The sequence below is a fragment of the Homo sapiens genome, chromosome 1 (assembly GCF_000001405.40).
Source record: "Homo sapiens chromosome 1, GRCh38.p14 Primary Assembly".
NCBI lineage: Eukaryota > Metazoa > Chordata > Mammalia > Primates > Hominidae > Homo > Homo sapiens.
The window spans coordinates 78,092,850-78,113,326 of record NC_000001.11 but is presented as its reverse complement, the minus strand read 5'-3'; the positions used below and the strand labels follow the sequence as shown (position 1 = coordinate 78,113,326).

Here is a 20,477-nt window from a genome sequence, read left to right as displayed (position 1 = left end):
TATGGTGTGAAGATCATCTAAGCCTGGGAGTTTGAGACTGCAGTGAACCATGATTGAAAAGAAAAAATATTTTTAAACAGCCATCATTTCACATATCTGTTTTTTTTTAATGAAATAGAACCCACACATATGCATTAAGGTTGTGATTACATAAGACAGACATCTTAGAATTCCAATTTGTGTCCTCTACTCAAAGGCCTTTTACATTAAGAGTGATAAAAGAATGTACACTTCTATGTTTTAAAACATAGAAATGGGAACTTTCTGTACTTTCTGTTCAGTTTTGCTATGAACCTAAACATTGATTTTTAGTTTTCATGTCGGGAGTACGAGTGCCGGTTTCTTACATGCATATGCTGCTAGTGGTGAAGTCTGGGCTTTTCGTGTACCCATCACCCAAATAACGAATGCTGTTCACTATTCACATCTATGTTTTAAATTAAAATAAAATGTTTATATATACATATATCATTCTTTACAAGAGCCTATTTTAACTGACATTTTCAATAAACAAGCAAACCCCTAGTTTTTGCTATTTGATGAAGCTCAGGTAGAGAGAAAGGGAAATGGAAAAGGCAGAAAGGATCTGTCTTCCTCCCAACAGCCTGTGCCTCGGCCCTAGGGAAAGAAGTGCTGACAGAAGACAAAAGCACTGTTTTCAGGAGTAGCACATGCAACACGGCTTAGATCCTCAACTGACGGAAGGACCAAGCAGTGGGGAGGCTGTATATTCTCCCCACTTCCGCACAGAACGAGGCCTTGTTCTGGTCCCATGAGAGCCCTGGTTGGCCTGGAGTATGGAGCAGCACCTATGGGGCCTGGGCAGAGACCATAATTTCAACATGAAGTGGGCACAGATGGACACTGCTGTATCCAAGTTGCTCAGTGAACAAGAAATAGCCCAAAGATGCCCAGAGGGAAGAATGGGATGCTATGGACACAGAGAAGGTCAACAAGGTTGCCTAACAGGATCACACTTCCTTGGAGCACATGTGAAGCCCTTGAGAACATCTGGAAATAGTTGTAAAGGGGGAACACTGTAGTGGGCTGAGGGCCTGTGTGAAAATGAGGTAGGAGAAAAAAATAATGAGTGGCATTTTGGTGACAAAAAGGAAACAAACCAATTACTTTCAGTTCCAAACTGTGAAATGAAAGTTGTTCTAATATTTCTGATTAGATCTCTGCTGAAAGTGAGACCCTGATAAAATTTTCCTGACTTCTCAAAAGCATATTATCTGGCTCTCTTAAAACATCTTACAAGGACTTTAGTACTGAGGTCTGATTATCTCTACCATCACTCTGTTTTCAAATGTGGTATCACGATGCTTGTAAGTAATGCTCTCAATTGCATTCTGATCACTGATATCTACTGGGATTACTTATAAGAAAATTAGTATTTTGGTTCAATCTGTACTGTTATCCACAGTGTTGTGGTTAAGAACATGGACTTTGGAATCAGAGCACCTTAGTTAAAACCCCAGTTCCTCACCTTGCAAGTTGTGTGAACTTGAGGAATAAGTTCTTATTTACAAAATATTTACACCTATTTACAGCATAGTTTTAAGTACTCAAATGACCACTGTATGAAAGATGCTTTGCCCATTGGCCTGGCTCACGTTAATAGAACGCTGCTGCTAGAGTTTATAATTTGCTTCTGCTGGTGTGTTTCAACCTGGAGAGAGGGAAATGTGCCCTTCCACTGTCTCCTAACAAAACAACTTATATAGATTTTCTCTCTAAAAAATGAAACATGCAAAGGCTCCTCGTAAAATGTTCAGAAAGCTGTCACTTGAAAGGCCAGGGGCAAAGGTCTCTTCTTTATTCTATTTTATTTCTTCTTTAAAACAGTATGATTTCTCCCTAAAATTTAGAGGAGGGTGGAAACAACAGATGGCCCCTCCCATTGCTCCATCTGAGGTCCTCTAAAGTGGATGAGTGTAAGCCCAGCCCCTCACAGGGCACTTTGTAATGGGCTCCTTCTAGTGAGGAAGGGGAAGAAGAGCCCACTGAGGGGCCCAGAGAAAAGAGTAAAATCCTTGGACTCTGTGGTCTCTGTCCAGTACCCCCCGCCGCCCCAATATCCCCTATTACAGTTTTATCACACCATGTGGGCAAGTGACCATCCATATCACCACTCCATCCCAGAAAAGTAAACATGCAGCTCCCTCCCCTAACCACCCATGCAGGGTGAACTCAGCTATCTCATCAAATTCAACCAACAGTTTCTGTACTTTCCATCTCTGAAGTTACAGAGCACCAAGAGAAATATCAAAGGGTGGGCCAGATGGCAACTCAGCAGCACTCGGCAGGATGTGCGCACCAGCAATCCTCAGTATTGCAGACCCAGGAATGCTTATTTTTTTCAGTGTTCCCAGAGCTGATCTGAATCTTAGCGATTGATTCACACTAGCCAAATTCACAAAGAACAGATCTCACCAAATCAGTTTATTAATCCATAGGGAGAGATGTTATCAAAGGCCCAAGTGGGCTCCCATGCTTCATTCTCACATGCCTGAGACTTCCTGGAGAAAGTGATTCATAAGCAGAGACTCAACCATCACAGGTAAAGACAGCAAGGCTAGATGGGTAAAGGGGAGGAGTAGAGAGAGGAAAGTGTTCCAGGCTATATAGTTCAGCAAGTTCAAAGATTCCAAAAGCGATGAATGGAGAGGTTACATTTCCAAGTCCCTCCCACCTAGGCAACTCTCAGTTCATTCGTTCTCTATCCCTTCCAGAAATGATTCCTTTGAAGTTTTCTACTCACAGGGTTACCTGAGAGGTTTAGTGTGCATGTCACCAGAGCAAAGGACTTTGGCATTAAGGACAATTCTCTCAGGACAAGACTACAAACAGGGAGTTCACAGTTACATATAGTATACAGACATATTTGTTGGATGTGCAGTGTTTTCAAATTTTTTAATTAGTTGCAACCTTTTAAATATTGGGTGATTTCTCATAAAAATTCAAATTTTTGGTTTCTCTTGGAGAATGACACATTTCTACAAAGCAATAATAATTAGAGTCAACAGCTCTACCTGGGCTTTGTGGCTTTCTGCCCCCATTTTCAGATATCTCTCAAGGTATAGAGGTTCCCTCTACAGATGGCTACCTATCAAGCATTATAGGCTGTTTCTTTTTTTTTTTTTACTTTAAGTTTTAGGTTACATGTGCACAACGTGCAGGTTAGTTACATATGCATACATGTGCCATGTTGGTGTGCTGCACCCATTAACTCGTCATTTACATTAGGTATATCTCCTAATGCTATCCCTCCCCCTTCCCCCACCCCACAACAGGCCCCCGTGTGTGAAGTTCCCCTTCCTGTGTCCATGGGTTCTCATTGTTCAATTCCCACCTACGAGTGAGAACATGCAGTGTTTGGTGTTTTGTCCTTGCGACAGTTTGCTGAGAATGATGGTTTCTAGCTTCATCCACGTCCCTACAAAGGACATGAACTCATCATTTTTTATGGCTGCATAGTATTCCATGGTGTATATGTGCCACATTTTCTTAATCCAGTCTATCATTGTTGGACATTTGAGTTGGTTCTAAACTAGCATTATTCTTCAAGACCAATTTTATTTCAAAAGAAAAAAAAACACACTATATTCATCTAGGGATAGTCAAGGTAAATTATTTGGGGTAAGTCAAAGGTAATGCCTTTTTATTAACCAAGCATTGACTATATCCCAGGTAACAGCATATAAAATTATCTACATGTTTTTAATACTCATAAAACTATTATGAGATAGGTATGATTATTATCCTAATTTCATGATTCAGGAAACCAAGGCTTGGAAAAGTGAAATGATTTCACCAGGATCACAGACAACCAGGTAAGTGGGCAGAGCTGGAATAAAAGGCCAGGCAGGTCCACCCTAGAAACACTACCTCATTTTGCATTCTATTAAAAGTTATGAGTTGCCATTGGTAAATAACTCTCATTGGTTGTTTTAGCACCCATTGGTCATTTAAGGATCACTGCGGATCAGGGGAAGCTGACTGCTCCTAGCTTCAGATATGGGACACAAGAATGGGCTAAGCCAAACTGATCCCCTTCATCACAGTGATTGTTTCAGAGGCAAGCATGTGACTAAAGGCCGCAAGGTCAGAATAAATCTCAGGACTTTTGCTAGAAATTCTGAGCCAAAGTCTCTCTCCTTTTCTGCTCTGCATGAATAAGAAAGCAGATGGTCCCAGCAGTTGCTGACCACCATCTTGGGACACAGTGTGGAGCTAACCTTAATATGATGATACCTAAATGATGAATCAGGTACATCAGACAGGACATCAGAAGAGAGAAAAGGCAAGGAACTGAGTCCTAGTCACATTGTATGGGCCCCACACAGAGCTTTGCTAATGCCAGCATCACTCATGGACTGCTGGTTTGTACAATTCCCGTTTCTGCTTAAGCCAGTTTAGTAGGGTTTACCATGGTCTCCAAATGAAAGAAACCTCACAGATAAAGAATTCTGTCCAAGTAATGAGGCAACCCATCTGAAAAGACCTTCCAATGCTTAGATACATACCAACAGCATTGTCCATAAACACATGCTCCCTACCCCACATTCACCCACAACCTATGTACACACTCCTCAGGATAGCTGACACAAAATCTAGCTTGTGTCTCAGAATTTAAGATTTTAACGACACTCCCTTTCTCCCTGCATCCTTCCTCTCTCCAATATTTCTGAAGCTTCTTTAGAATAGGCTTTAAAAAAATACAATTAGTAGGGTGCTGAGACAGACCAAAGGCAAGGAAAAGGAGGCATATACTGATGCCACCTGCATGAAGGTGTCAGTTGTTGTCTATTGGATCAAAAGAGCTGCCCACATATGAATGAACCCCACAAGCACACAAAGGTGGCTCAACCATTCCGTCGATAAGACAGAACAGGGTGTGATGCATATCAGAAGTGCAATAACTGTGCCAGAAATCTTCTTGTTCTTTAGTTAAGATGTCATTTAAGAAAGCCCCAACGCTGTTTTCATAACTCCCTGAAATTGCAGGCACAAGTTAATGTGCATCTCTGGGGAAAAAGTTCATACCTTTAATCCAGAGGAGACTGTGTTACAAAAAAAGATTACAAACCTCTAGACTCTAATTTGGAAAGGTAAAAGGTCGTTCTTTTAACAAAGAATGATAGCTAAAATATTTCGTTTTATCCTTTCACTTATTTTACCCTATAATATGATTTTATCATGGGAATTCAAGAAATAAAAATTATTGTTCACCTTTATTACTGGTTTATTACACAGCCTGGACCTTCCCCCTAGACTTTACAAAGTTAAGAAAAATAGTTACCAAAACAGATCCTGCAAATGTAAAGAGTTGATAACATATTCTACCACATTTCTCACATGGAACTATTTATAATAAAATTGTTTAATGAGGAGCATCATATAGTTGAAAACTGTAAAGCTACAATACGTAGAATAAGTTTCTTCTACTTCCTAGAATGCTAGCTCTTTTTTTTTTTTTTTTTTTTTTTTTTTTTTTTTGAGACAGAGTTTCACTCTGTTGCCCAGGCTGAAGTGCGTTGGCACCATCTCAGCTCACTGCAACCTCCACCTCCCAGGTTCAAGTGATTCTCATGCCTCAGCCTCCCCAGTAGCTGGAATTACAGGTGCGTGCCACCATGTTCGGCTAATTTTTATATTTTTAGAAGAGATGGGGTTTCACCCTGTTAGCCAGGCTGGTCTCGAACTCCTGACCTCAAGTTATCTGCTTGCCCCAGCCTCCCAAAGTGCTGAAATTACAGGCATGAGCCACCACACTTGGCCAGCCTTCCTTTTTAAAATAATTGTTTTCTTGTTATGAAAGTTAATGTGTTTGTTTTATATTTAAAATGTGGAAAATATAAGCCTAAAGAAAAAAAGTCAGCCGGGCATGGTAGGTCATGCCTGTAATCCTAACACTTTGGGAGGCCAAGGCTGGCATACTGCTTGAGCCCAGGAGTTCAAGACCAGCCTGGGCAAAGGAGTGAGATCCCATCTCTACAAAACACTGAAAAATTCGCTAGGTTGGTGGCCTGCACCTGTGGTCTCAGCTACTTGGGAGGCTGAAGTGGGAGGATCTTTTGAGCCCTGCAGTGAACTGTGACTGCACTACTGCACTCCACCCTCAGAGAGTGAGACCCTGGAAGGAGGGAGGGAGGGAGCAAGGGGGAGAGCAAGGGAGAGAGGGAAGGAGGGAAAGAAAAGGAAAAAGGTAGGGAAAGAAAGGGAGGGAAAGAGGGAGGGAGAAAGAGAGGGAGGGAGAGTAAGGAAGGAAGGAAGGGAAGGGAGGGAGGGAGGGAGAAGAAATTAAAAGGAAAGAGAAAGAAAAGCCGTCCATAAACTCGCCACCTAGGCCGGGCACAGTGGCTCATGCCTGTAATCCCAGCACCTTGGGAGGCCGAGGCAGGTGGATCACCTGAGGTCGCGAGTTCGAGACCAGCCTGACCAACATGGAGAAACCCTGCCTCTACTAAAAATACAAAATTAGTCATGGTGGTACATGCCTGTAATCCCAGCTACTTGGGAGGCTGAAGCAGGAGAATCACTTGAACCTGGGCAACAGAGGTTGCAGAGAGCCGAGATAGCACCATCACACTCCACCCTGGGCAACAAGAACGAAACTCTGTCTCAAATAAATAAATAAATAAAATTAAAAATCCACTGTAAGGTATTTTTCTTCTACACTTAAAAAGTTTTTGCAAAACTGGGATATTACAGCACGTTGTGTTGTAATCTGTTTTTGTTTTGTTTTGTTTTGTTTTGTTTTTGAGATGGAGTCTTGCTCTGTTGCCCAGGCTGGAGTGCAGTGGTGCGATCTCTGCTCACTGCAAGCCCCGCCCCCTGGGTTCATGCCATTCTCCTGCCTCATCCTTCCAAGTAGCTGGGACTACAGGCGCCTGCCACCATGCCTGGCTAATTTTTTTGTATTTTTAGTAGAGATGGTGTTTAACAGTGTTCGCCAGGATGGTCTCAATCTCCTGACCTCGTGATCCGCCCATCTCGGCCTCCCAAAGTGCTGGGATTACAGGCGTGAGCCACCACACCCTGCCGTAATCTGCCTTTTCACATTTTTTTCTTTTTTTTTTTTTTTTTGAGACAGAGTCTTACTCTGTCACCCAGGCTGGAATGCAGTGGCGCGATCTCAGCTCATTGCAACCTCCGCCTCCCAGGTTCAAGCGATTCTCCTGCCTCAGCCTCCCAAGTAGCTGGAATTACAGGAGACTGCCACTATGCCCGGCTAATTTTTTGCATTTTTAGTAGAGAGGGGATTTCACCATAATAGCCAGGCTGTCTCAAACTCCTGACCTCAGGTGATCCGCCCACCTCAGCCTCCAAAGTGCTGGGATTACAAGCATGAGCCACCGCGCCCAGCCTCACAAACATTTTTCCACACATAAATCAAATTGCTTATCTGCCTAACTTATCTGAAAACATACTCTGACTACGATTTTTAACATAATTTATTAGATCCATTTTCCTATAATTAAATGACAATTCCCGTTGTAAAAATACTCTTGGGGAGAATATGTATTATTTATATAATTGCTGTTTTCTAATAAATAACATTATAGTCATACTATTCAGATTAGAAAAGCCACTTACATTTAAGCATCATTTTTTACCCCTTCATCTCACATTGCTGTTTTAATTAATAAGCTTAAAAACAGTTGAAAACTATTATGTACCTCCTATTCATGGTTGTTATTAACTCTAAATGGTCCTTAAAAAACATTACGGTTCTGGTCGGGCAAGGTGGCTCATGCCTGTAATCCCAGCACTTTGGGAGGCCGAGGTGGGCGGATCACGAGGTCAAAAGATTGAGACCATCTTGGCCAACATGGTGAAACCCCGTCTCTACTAAAAATACAAAAAATTAGCTGGACGTGGTGGTGCGTGTCTGTAGTCCCAGCTACTCAGGAGGCTGAGGCAGGAGAATGGCTTGAACCCAGGAGGCGGAGGTTGCAGTGAGCTGAGATCGCACCACTGCACTCCAGCCTGGTGACACAGTGAGACTCCATCTCAAAAAAAAAAAAAAAAATTACAGTTACAAGACATCAATCACTGTTTAGGGTAAATGTCTTGAAAAATATAGCTTACAAAGTTTTTAGTATTATAGATTATAATAATTTCATTTTTCTCAGATTAAAAACTGAGCATTCGATAAAAAAAATTTTAATGCAAGTTTACAACTAGAGTAGAAAGGATCTATATTTAGGTATCCAGCTGGGTCTCTACCTTGAAAACCAATTTATCAATTACACTCAGCACTTGTCTAACACATCTGTGACACTCCACAAAAGGGAACTTGGATTTTTTTATTCATCTTCTCCCATAGTATCTTTGTGACAAATGCTAAGCCAAAGTGTAGCTAGATACGAAGAGGCCAGGAAAAACTCTACTACATAATAAGATGATCGACAGTATGCTCTGCCCCTCAAAATCTGTCACTGTGTACACTTACTTTGCCAAAAAATACATGAAAGAGAGTATCACTGTCAGATAAAATGCAATACACCTGAAACTGAACTTTTATCCCTGACTGTCCCCCAAACCATTTCTACATCCCAACTGCATCATTTCCAATTATAGCATCATTGTTATCACAGGCTCCTAGGATAGAAATCTTGGGAGTGACATTTGCTTCTGAACCTTCTCCCTTCTCCCCTTTAGCTAAGTGTCATCAATCCACCTCCTACCCCATTTTTACCCTTACAATATTACTCACACTTTTTATTTCCTTTGAATTCCCACTGCTGCCCCTAATCCCAGTCCTGATCATTTCCTCCTGAACTGTTCCAACAGCCTCTTACATGGTTTATCCTCTAGTCATATATAGCCACATTGGTCTCCTGGGCTTAATTCCCAAATATCTGCTTCATCATGTCATTCTTCAGTTCTAATATCATCTAAATGATTCCCTATTACTCTGTAAAACAAGCCTGGGTTCCCCACCAGAACCCAGAGCTATTAATAAGAGCTCTGAAAAATAAGAGTTTTCAGAGCTCTTATTAATAGGGTCCTGAGCGGCTTTTGCAGCCTGATTTGCTACAGATTTCTGTAGTGGCTTTTAAATTTTACTCCACAATTCTGAATGTAAGAAATGCCTAATTGAATCTGACTTTGAGCACCACCCCCGGCCCCCTCTCCCCCCTCTACACACCACTGGCATGGCACAGGTTTGGTGAGAAATTTACTCTTGGTTTTGCTTTGAAGGCCTCTCCCCATCTCCCAGGCTTCAAAAGGCTGATGCTGCACTCTGTCCATCATAGACCAGACCATGAAGCTCTACGTCCAAGTCAGTGTGTGCACTCACAGGCCACCCCCACACCCACACCCAGTGTGTACAAGGGCCTTTCACCTGAGATCGCAAAGCCACAGCACTTAAAAGCTCTAATATCCTTATGCCATTCTATCAGATGTCCTGTCGCCTTTCATGAGAACAGGACATTGATCCCTGTTACTGGTGGGACCTGCCATAAATCACCTGTCTCATAGCTTTCTTTGTTGAGGGAGTTTCTTTCCAATCTTACTACCTCTCAATCCCTATCACTCTCTAAGCCTTAGAACCCCTCCCAATCATGGACAAGTCAGCGCTCAGATAAACTTCACTCTTTAAATCTGCACTATAGCATGCATCATGGTCTGCATTATGTTCTGAAGAAGCAGTAACACATAATGTTCAGAGCACAAGCCTCGAGAGCAAACAGGACTGGAGTGCTATGCCCACACTTACGCCTGCCACTGGGCAGTCTTAATGAATTAACTGCCCAAGCCTCAGTTTACCTAGCTGAAAAACCCTCATAGGAATGGCATGAGGATTATTAAGTCAGGCCATAATAGCAGTAGTCCTAGTCACAATGGGTTGCAATTACATAACACTGTTCTAAGCACATACATACATTAACTCATTTCATCCTCAAAATACTTTATGGGTAAGTAAACAGGCTTATAGAGGGGTTAAATAACACCCCAAATCACACAGTTTAAAAGCAGCAAAGATAGGAATCAAACCTAAGTAACTGAGCTCACAGTCTATGCTCTTCACTGCTATACTATATTTCATTCAACAAATGGTAGCTATTATTGTTAGTAGAATTACTTGATTCTTAATGTATCTGCCTCTTTATGTAAACTGTAAGTTCCCTGAGGACAGCAAGCATGTTGACTCACTGTAACAGCTGTTAGAGAGCTGGCTCTGGAGGCTGACTGCTTGGTTTAGAAGTGTGCCTCCCTCGCTCACTAGCTGTAACCTTGGGCAAACTGCTTCACCTTTTAGGTTGGTTGTAAGGACTAAATGATTTCCTACTTAGAAAGTCCTAGGAAAAGCGAATGGCAGCTACTATTATGATGTACTGACATATTTCCTTAGTTGATATGAGATGTGATATTGCCATCTGTCTTTCCAGAATCCAAACAGTGCCAGAGTTCTCAACAAATACTTGTTGATCACCAATTCATCCACATTGCTTTTCCTGTTTCAGTGGGTTTATCTTGTTTCTAAAATTATTCCTTAAAGAAAAGGATACACCTTTATAATAATAGTAATAATAACAGATAACTTATTGAAGACTTACTATATACCAGGGACTGCTCTATGATTCTTTCATGTTTAATCATTTAATCCTCACAACAGCTCAATGTGGTAGACACATCTTCACATTTTGTATGAGGAGACCAAGGCACAGAAAGGTTAAATAACTTACCCAATGTCACATATCATAAGCCAGTCCCTGGCAGAGACTACACACTTAACTACTGAAATTTATCATCTCTTTTGTAACTTTTTTCATATTCCCAAATATATTTTGTAGAATTCAGTATATATGAAAAGGTACCAAAAGTATTAATTGATTGAAATTTTTTCCCTAGATACAGCATGAATAATAAAAAGTAATTTTTAAATGTTTGAAATGTCTATCCAAAAAGTCATATAAAACTTAAAAGCCACAGTTTATCTCTTAATATCAAATAGGCTTAGCCTTTGAAGTGAGTACATCAGTTAAGCTGAATCACGAAGATGAGGTCCGAGTTTTCCAGCTGTGAATGACTCAAAAGACTAAGATGCACTTCACATACTTAACATCCTATTCTGATGGATACACCGCACAGAAATGAATCTTCTAAAAGAAGATATAACCCAATGATCTGTTACAAAATCCAACCCTAAAATAAAGACCATAAATGCTTTAGGAGGTAAGTTTCTTCTTCCAATTTTCTTCCTGCTTTTGAAAACTCTTACAGAAATATTTCAGGCCTCCTTCCTCAAACCTCTTTCCATAAAGGGCACGCAAGAATCACAAATTGGAAATTTGCAGGATAAATGAAGTCGAGACTCATTTAAGTAAAACCAAATCAAAGCTTTATGGATTTGTTCTTTTTCTGCATTTAAAAGACCTTATAGGAAAACAAATGAGTTGGTCTTGTCTGGTCTTAGAGTCATTTAAATGGAAGAGGGATTTTCATGGCCTTGGGAAAATCTAGGTTTACAGGGCAAACTCTGCAAGGTTGAGCTCATTGTAAAGCCATGCTCCTTTTCATTGGCAAAAGGAGAAAGGAAGTGAGCCATGCCCTAAAAAATACCACTACAGACATTCCAGCCGATACTTGATAAGGACTGGGAATGCTGCCATCAGCTCATGGCTAGAACAAGGAAAATTTGAATCAGTAACCAGCTGACCAGGGGGAACCATGTTAAGTATGGGAAAGATTTCCCATTCAACTACAAACTTTCAACAAGGGAGTCATTTAAGCCAGTGGCTTTCAAATGTTTTTTTCTGTGACCCACAGTAAAAAATACATACGTTATATCATGACCCATAAATATACACAAAGATAATAAAACTGAAATACACATATTTATTTGTAACTGAAACAATATTTGCAATGTACAAAGCACAATATTTTCAACTCTATTCTACTTTGTGTTCTAAACACACTGGTTGAAACCTACTGGTTGAAAAACAGTAATTTAAATTCTGACCAGCACAGAAGATTCTGAGGGTACATTTTCTAATGGCCTTTATTCCTCCCTCAGAGCCCCACAGCCAACTTGGGAAAGTGCAATGGAACATCTGCTCGTGGGACAAGTGACTTGATCTTGAGTACTTGGATAAAGGCTACCCAGAAGGCCAGGTCCTCCATGTCTGGCCATTCCTCAGTGCTGGCTCCTCCTTCTCTTTCTGCCCCTTAAATGCTGATGTTCCCCTCACTGCTCTGTTTTTGGTCCTTTTATCACTCTCAGTGATTGAATCTATTTCCATAGCTTCTGCGACCAATCAAAGAAAATTACTCATAAATCTCATTCTCTAGGCCCCAATTATCAATGCTCATCTACCTCGTGTGTATGTGTGTGTGTGTGTGTGTGTGTGTGTGTGTGTGTGTGTGTATTTTTTTTTTTTTGACAGGGTCTCACTCTGTTGCCCAGGCTGGAGTGCAGTGGCGTGATCTCAGCTCACTGCAACCCCCACCTCCCAGATTCAAGTGATTCTCCTGCCTCAGCCTCCCGAGCAACTGAGACTAGAGGTGCTTGCCACCATTTCCAGCTAATTCTTGTATTTTTAGTAGAGACAGGGTTTCACCACATTGGCCAGGCTGGTCTCAAACTCCCGACCTCAAGTGACCCTCCCTCCTCAACCTCCCAAAGGGCTGGGATTATAGGAGTGAACCACCGCACCCAGCCCTTTTGTACAAGTCTAACTGAATCGTTCCACAGATTTCAAATTCATTTAGTCCAAAATTGTATTTATAATTTCTTTCCTATCCTATCTCCTCGCCCATATCTATTTCTTTGCCAGCTTTCCTCATCTCAAAGAATGACAGCATACTCCCTCCCTGAAGCCACAAATCTGAGGTCATCATTTGCAGTCTCTCCTTCCTTTACTTCTATGTCCAACAGGTTACCAATTCAATCTTATTATTCAGTGGTGTGCAGGTACATTTAACAATCAGCTCTCTGCACTAAAAAAATTAAAATAAAGAGCCCTGACTTACAGGGCTTACCTATTTCTCTTTTATAAATATCCCATTATAGCTCATTTAAAACAATTAACCTGATGTCAATGAAGGAGGAGTTGGGAAGAGATGTGTACAAATGGCTCCAGCACACCACCATCTATTCCTCCAAACCATTTCTCTTCTCTTCATGCCTACAGGCACTGCCTTAATTCATGTCTCTCACACTGAACAAATTATAGCTATTATTGTTAATAGAACATTTATGATCTCCTAAACTCTATCTTATATCCCTTTATCTAACAGTCTCCAAAATATCTTTGTAAAATTAAAGACTCACCATGTTACCCCTCTGCCTCTTCATTGCCCAGTCTTTGTCTTCATATATAAGGCCCTTGATATATTTGTTCTCTACTGACTCTTGAGCTTCATTTCCTGTGACGCCACCACCTATAACCTCTAACCAAAAACACTGGCAAACAAGGTGTTCCCAAATACATGATGCTATTCTGTACCTCTGTAACTTTGCTTATTCTGTTCCCACTTCCTAGGACAACCTTCCCCAATTCATCCACTAAGTAAGCACCATTCATACCTTCAGACTCAACTCAAATCTCTTTCCTTAGAAAGCTTTTCCTGGCTGGGCGCAGTGACTCACGCCTGTAATCCTAGCACTTTGGGAGGCCGAGGTGGGCAGATCACGAGGTCAGGAGATTGAGACCATCCTGGCTAACACAATGAAACCCTGTCTCTACTAAAAATACAAAAAATTAGCCGAGCACGGTGGCACGTGCCTGTAGTCCCAGCTACTCGGGAGGCTGAGGCAGGAGAATCGCTTGAACCTGGGAGGCGGAAGTTGCAGTGAGCTGAGATCGTGCCACTGTACTCCATCCCGGGCAACAGAGCAAAACTCCGTCTCAAAAAAAAAAAAAGAAAGAGAAAAGAAAAGAAAAGAAAGCTTTTCCTGAACTTCTTAAGCACACTTGATGTCTCCCACCTTTACACATCCAGTATATTTTAGCACCTCTAATCGCCTTTATTAAATTTATTTATTTTTTTCATATCCATCTCTTCTCACTAGACATGAGTTCCTAGATCTGGATCTTATTCATGCATGTACCAAGCAGGTGGTATGGTGATGGTATACAGTAGGCTTTCAATAAATGGTAACTATTATTGTCTAGGGCAACTAATACCCTAAGACAAGCATATACTAATTACTCAACAAATGTCTGAATGGAAACATATTAGTATGCTCTTGCTATCTTCCCAAGGCCAGAGGAATGCTAAAATACCTGTACCTTCTAGATTATTAGGAAGCCCAAGGTCTACTTCCATAGTCAAAGAACTGGTACTGTAATTTTTTTCCTATTATCCTCTATAATTTCCTAGTGCTGCCATAACAAAGTACCATAGACTAGGTGGCTTAAACAATAGAAATTTATTTTCTCAGAGTTCTAGAGGCCAGAAGTTCAGGATCAAGGTTTCTCTAGGGTTGGTTTCTTTTGAGGCCTCTCTCCTTGACTTACAGATAGATAGTTATCTTCATGTTCAAATGGCATCCTCCCTGTGTCTGTGTCTAAATTTCCTCTTCTAATAAGTACACCAGTCATATTGGATTAGGGCCCACCCAAATGATGTCATTTTAACCTAGTTACATCTTTAAAGCCCCTATCTACAAATCCAGTTGCATTCTAAGGTAGTGAAGATTAGGACTTCAACATGTGAATTTTGAAGGACACAATTCAGCCCATAACAGCCTCCTGTTAGACCATGAGCTCCTCGAAAGGCAGGAGCCATAACTTAGTCTTCCTCCTTAGTATTTTCTATGCCACACAGAGTACCTGAAACACAGAAGAGTCTCAATAATTTGTGAGATAGATAATTTAAAAATAATTTGTGAGATAGATAAATTAAAAATAATTTACAGATAATTAAAAATCTTCCTAGAAGTATAGTCAAAATTGGTAATTATAGTCAAAATTGTTAAGTATAGTCAAAATTGGTAAGTATAGTCAAAATTGGTCCCCTCCAAATCTGATGGCCAGCACCAAGGAAAATGTGACTTTACTCTTTCTCTGAAAGAAAGTTGGATGCTGTCATCATCTCTAGATAGTCCACTGCCAAACAGCTATGTATGTGGCACCCAACTCATAGCAGAAAAATAAAATCCTTAAGGTCAAACACCCACAACAATTGACAATACGCTTCTCCCTCCAAATCCATTCCAATACTCCCAGACTGACAGATATCATACATGGCTACAGTCAGATTCAAAATCAAGAGAAAATCAATACTGCTGTGGCTGCAGAACAAGATATAACAGCTTAGAAGAAATAGCAAAATGGGCATCTGCTACTTTTTTCCTACCTATAAGGAAATTTATCCCTTCATGTTATGTGTGATTTTGGTAGGTGTATCATATAGCCTGCCTTCCCCATTATCAAGATGGGTACAAGACCTACTTACTTGCTCCACCTCTCCCAGGAATTTGAATCCTGAGTGAAGTGATATGAAAACAGAAAATAATTGCCAAGAGTCAATTCAGCCAGTGCCATGAATGGTTCCTGGTACACACACCCCTGAAACAGGCTTGGTTCCTGACCTTGTCAAGGCTCAATTGACTGTTTCTGGGACCTACATGGTAGTCTCTAATAAATGCCTTCTCCTGAAATTAGACAGTGTTTATTACGTAGCTCTCCATCAAAGAATATTAACACATATAATGGCCCCTGGAAGTGGAGTGTAGCTAGTGGTGGACCTAAAATATGGAAATGAAGGCAGGCAGAAAGGATTTCCCTAACCACTACAAAGAAGTGGTGCTTGCAGTCCTAGTTACGCCATTGCAAAGCAGCCAACTATGCTCCTTCCTCTTGTGTTTTGGGATATAGTCCACATGCCTCTCCAGGCTAAGTCTTTAGGGAAGTTGGTAGGAAAATGTCAAAATATTGGTGTATATAGCCATTTCTGACAGCTTTTGTTAAAATCCTATAAGTGACTTAGCTACAGCCAAGGTGGCCTATCTGAATGCAGAGAAAACTCTGCCTCACTAAGACTGGCCCTTCTCCTGGTAGAAATCCAAGAGGACAGAGAATCAGACAATCATGAAGGACTATGAAATTTGAATTCTTGGCCCTGAGTCAATAATAATGCCAGAAAATACAGGAAAAAAAGAAAGGAAACATAGCAAAAGATAAGATTAGAACCAAGAGAATTGGGGGAAGCCTGATTCCCCAAGTACCCCCTGATATATGCTCCCCTCTCTGGCAAAGAGCTAAGCACTGGGACGAAGCCAAAGGATGAAAAACAAAGTAGCTTTGTCTTTATCCCAGAGGCAAAACAATAAGCAGAAAAATTCAGGGCTGGAGGACAGGCAGAGCAGCCAGGCTTACTTTTAAGAAAGAAACCCCTCACACTAGGGCCCAGAGTCAAGAATCAATCCACAGCACAGAAAATGCATAAAGACCAGCAGCTTGAGTTAAACTTCCATAGAAACCTTGGAAAATAAAAACTTATTCCTCCAAAGTCAATCTCTGGATGTTCTAACCAACAGCCCTACCAGAATTCAGGATGCTCAAATAATATACCTCTATTAGGAAAATCCTACTCAGGGTACTTTGCAAATGTGTCCATTGATTTCATGAGGCAACAGCCGGTTCAATAGTAGTTAGGTACATAAGGCAGTGAAGTATACTGACTCTACTCATGTCTACAACACTGAAGGGAAAATCTAATCATGGAACAATAATAGCTAAATACAACGACCTTTGCAACATTTAAGACTATCACCAACCTAGCATCCAAGTTAAGGTATATCAATAACTTTCTACAAAGACATGAGGACCAAAAGATCTAGATGCAGACAATGGGAAAAAAAAAAAAAACAGAAAAATTTACTCTGGAAACAGATTATGTAGTGGAGATCAATACAGAAAAAAATAGATTTCTTGAGTTATGCTAATAGAATGGCTTTGATTTACAAAGAGTCTAAATCAAATAAGAATATTTATCTCAAACCATCTACACCCTGTCAATTTATTTCACCATGCTATCTGGGGAGTTAGGTTACCAAATGAAGCCATCTTGAAAGGAGTTACTGGATAGAAACCTGAGTGCTGCTTTCCTTCCTCTGTGAGAAGTGAGCTCAGATGCTGCAAGGCACCAGGCAGAATCACAGCATCTACAGAGGTAGTTCCTAGAGTGCTCCCTCCAGGAGGTACTGGTATAAGGCATCTTTTTCTTACACCTTCTGGAAAACTGCCTCCCACAGGTAATATAACCTACACTTGTATTTCTGTTAAATGGTGCAGAAGCATGTAGAAGCAGAGAAAAAATTCTAATTCCACATGCCTAGGACCTGTCACTTACTTGCTAAGACACAGAAAACATAATTCCCCAGATCCACTGCATTCTTCCATTATTTCCAATAACTGCCCTGAGAAAATGGCATTAGAGACAAACTAAATGGAATATTTATGTTCTGTGAACAAAGGAAAGAACATAGGGTGCGTGGGGTCATGATGAGTAACAGCAAGCCTGAGATGATTCTGCTACAGATATTTTAACGCTGATGAATGCTAGGCCTTGGTTTGGCTTATTAAAATAGTTCTGGGTGGTAAGAGAGAAGCTGGCACATTTTTCTGTAGATGAGATAGCCCTGGGTGATTGAACAACAGTTGGAATACAGCTGTCATGGCTAAAACCAAGCAAGTACAGATGTCACCCCAAAGTGGAAATAATTTCATACCATCCCATGCTGCCAAATTCAAAATGCCAATGGAGGAAAGGTATTGGGGAAGGGGGTCTTTAAAATGGACTAGATAACTATTTTAAATACCATTCTGTATATAACTATAATTTTTGCTGCTGAGATCCATGAGCAACAGTTATTATGGTTTAAAAGCTCAGTCAAAAATCTTACTGCTCAGCAAAATGAAAACAATACAATGTGCTGTTCTCAGAGATAGGAACAGCCACATCAAATTCAGTCACTAGACATTAGACTTTGTAATTTCAAATGTTTGGAAAATGTCCTTTTACAAGGCAATAATTTTCTCTTTTTTCTTCCTTCAATAGTTGTCTTTCTTATAAGTAGTGCTACCATTTTCTATGTTTTTAACTGATATGTTAGATAAGAAGACACTAAAAGCACATAGCACCATATCACAGTACTCATTTCCCTTAGAAAGATAAACCAGGGAAAGCAAACATTTCACACACCCGCCCACCAACCCCTGACTTACCAAATGCCTTCTTAGGTTCTATTAACTTCATAGTAAAGAGTTCCTCCTTTTTTAATTCCTTTAACTTCTTAGCAACATCATAGTGACGCCACCCAACAATATTTTCTCCATTTATGGATTCAATATGATCCCCAACACAGATTGTTTTAACTGAGTCAATAACACCACCATCTTTAATTCTCTGAAAGGAAATTGATGATAACATAATATAAAATAGAACTGTGTAATGAATGCACCAATCTCATCTGATCTTGGAAGCTAAGCAGGTTTGGGCCTGGTTAGTACTTGGATGGGAGACTGCCTGGGAATATCAGATGCTACAGGTTTAAAAAAAAACTGTGTAACAGTACTTTTTATGCTTTTGAGACATTAAATACAATGTATTGACATAACAATGCAGTCTGATGCTCAGTTAGAGATGGAAGACTGAGCAACCAAGAACCACTATCTTACCTCCAACCATTCTTCGTCTTCCTTATCATTCAGAATTCAGCTCACTCATACACCACCTCCTCTGGGAAGCTTTTCCTGACATTCCCAACCCACTCCACCAAGAATGGGTAAGGTGCCACTCTCATGCTTCTACAGTACGTTTTGCTGTATATGCTGAATTCTAAACTAAGCACTTTACATTTGTTATTTCATTTAATTCTAACAACCTTTATGAGATTCTCATGTCACAGGTCAGGAAGATTAAAGCTTCAGAAGATCAAGTAATTTGCCAGATTCAACATACCACAGTGCGATTGTTCATTTACTTCTCAGTCTCCATTACTAAACTAATATCCTTGAGGACAGAGATGGTCTTATTCACTACTGCATGTCTGTGCCTAGCACAATATCTGCAAAGTCCCTTCATTAGTGATTACTGAATCATTTCAATTGAGGCCCATCACATAAGAATAGAGCTTGAGCTTTTTCAATTGGCTGCATTTAGTTACAGATGCAAAGACACAAAGAATAATACCATCTTAGCTAAGACGCCTGATACCCAATAAAAGATAAGTATGGTTATCATTTTGGGAGCCAGTAAGGGTGATTTGATGCTATTGTTTTTCATTTATGTATTTTAGATGAACAGAATGTAGGACCCCAAGGAGAAACTTCAAGTTGGTCTTTCTTAAATCTATCTTACTTCTCTACAATACATCTGTAGGGTAAAGTATCAAAATGGTATCTAGTATTCCCAAGATGGCACCAAGAATTTCTGAAAGGATTTTAGGGGCAGGAGCTCCAGAAAAATCTTCCAGAATTGCAGAAAACAGCCCTGCAGAGGATGTACAAGTTCTTCCACAGTGATGAGGAATGAGGCAAAATGAAGGCCATAATCTGTCTCAGAAGTCCCAAATCCTTCATAGGAATGATAGCAATATCAGGAGTGGCTGCTATTGTGTAATAAAGGTTGTGTATTCTTTACCCTTGCTAGGTGGAAGTATAACATCTTCTGAATCAGCAGGGTGATTGATCATTGTGTCCAAGAGCTAGGAGAAAACTGATCTCAACTACCTCCAGCATCTCCGTCATATTGTCATCAGGAACAAGAATAACTTAGGAAGGTTAAGCATTTTTAATGTTTAAATTGCATTATTATAAATCAAAACTCAAAATAGATTTCTCTTTTATCCCAAATTTTAAGAATATTGCTATGTTCATTCATTCTAATAGTGGCTGTTAACATGCTATATGCAAATGTCACAATAATGCCAATTTAAACAGAGCTCACTGTCATTAGAAATAGTTAAACAAAGATACCAGAAGTTTCATAATCTACCAACATTATTTTATTAGAAACCCATATTAAACTTATATCGCTAACAGAAACAATGGGAATCACTCAGTACAACTAGAGTTTCTCAACTGTCATAGAAAAATAAACAAGATTAAAGAAAAGACTAGAGTCTAAAGAAGAAAAAACTATTAAATATTTTACACAATTCATAATTCATCAAAGAATTCAATAATCTATACTTTGATTTTTTTTCTTAGTTTTTATTCTAATTTATCTCTTGATACATCTTGAATTTATTTTTTTATTTGGTCAACTACACCATACAAATTTCAGAGTCTCACCACACAGTATTTTTAGCTTAAGATTTAGAGTTACAATTTTATTTAAAATAAGCATTATATAAAAGTTAAAGACTTTGAAGACACACCTGAATCTCACCAGGGAATTAAAGGTCAGAGTAACAGAAATCTAGGGTTGCAGAGGCCCATGAGTCACTTCAGTAATCCTAGAGATGCCTCAGCAACCAGAAGAGTGCCCAGAGGGAAGAAAGGCAG

At 40.1% G+C, this 20,477-nt stretch overlaps 1 protein-coding gene and 1 pseudogene across 3 annotated transcripts in view; one reads left to right on the top strand and one right to left on the bottom strand.

The window, feature by feature from the left end:
- GIPC2 (GIPC PDZ domain containing family member 2) overlaps nucleotides 1-20,477 on the bottom strand; it is a 93,475-nt gene that overhangs the window by 25,118 nt on the left and 47,880 nt on the right. For all 3 annotated transcript variants that reach the window (NM_001304725.2, XM_047423230.1, NM_017655.6), the window contains exon 3: nucleotides 18,195-18,375. In NM_001304725.2, the coding sequence (NP_001291654.1) occupies nucleotides 18,195-18,375 (181 nt within the window). The remainder of the gene's footprint in view (nucleotides 1-18,194; nucleotides 18,376-20,477) is intronic.
- RNA5SP22 (RNA, 5S ribosomal pseudogene 22) lies at nucleotides 18,412-18,520 on the top strand (annotated as a pseudogene).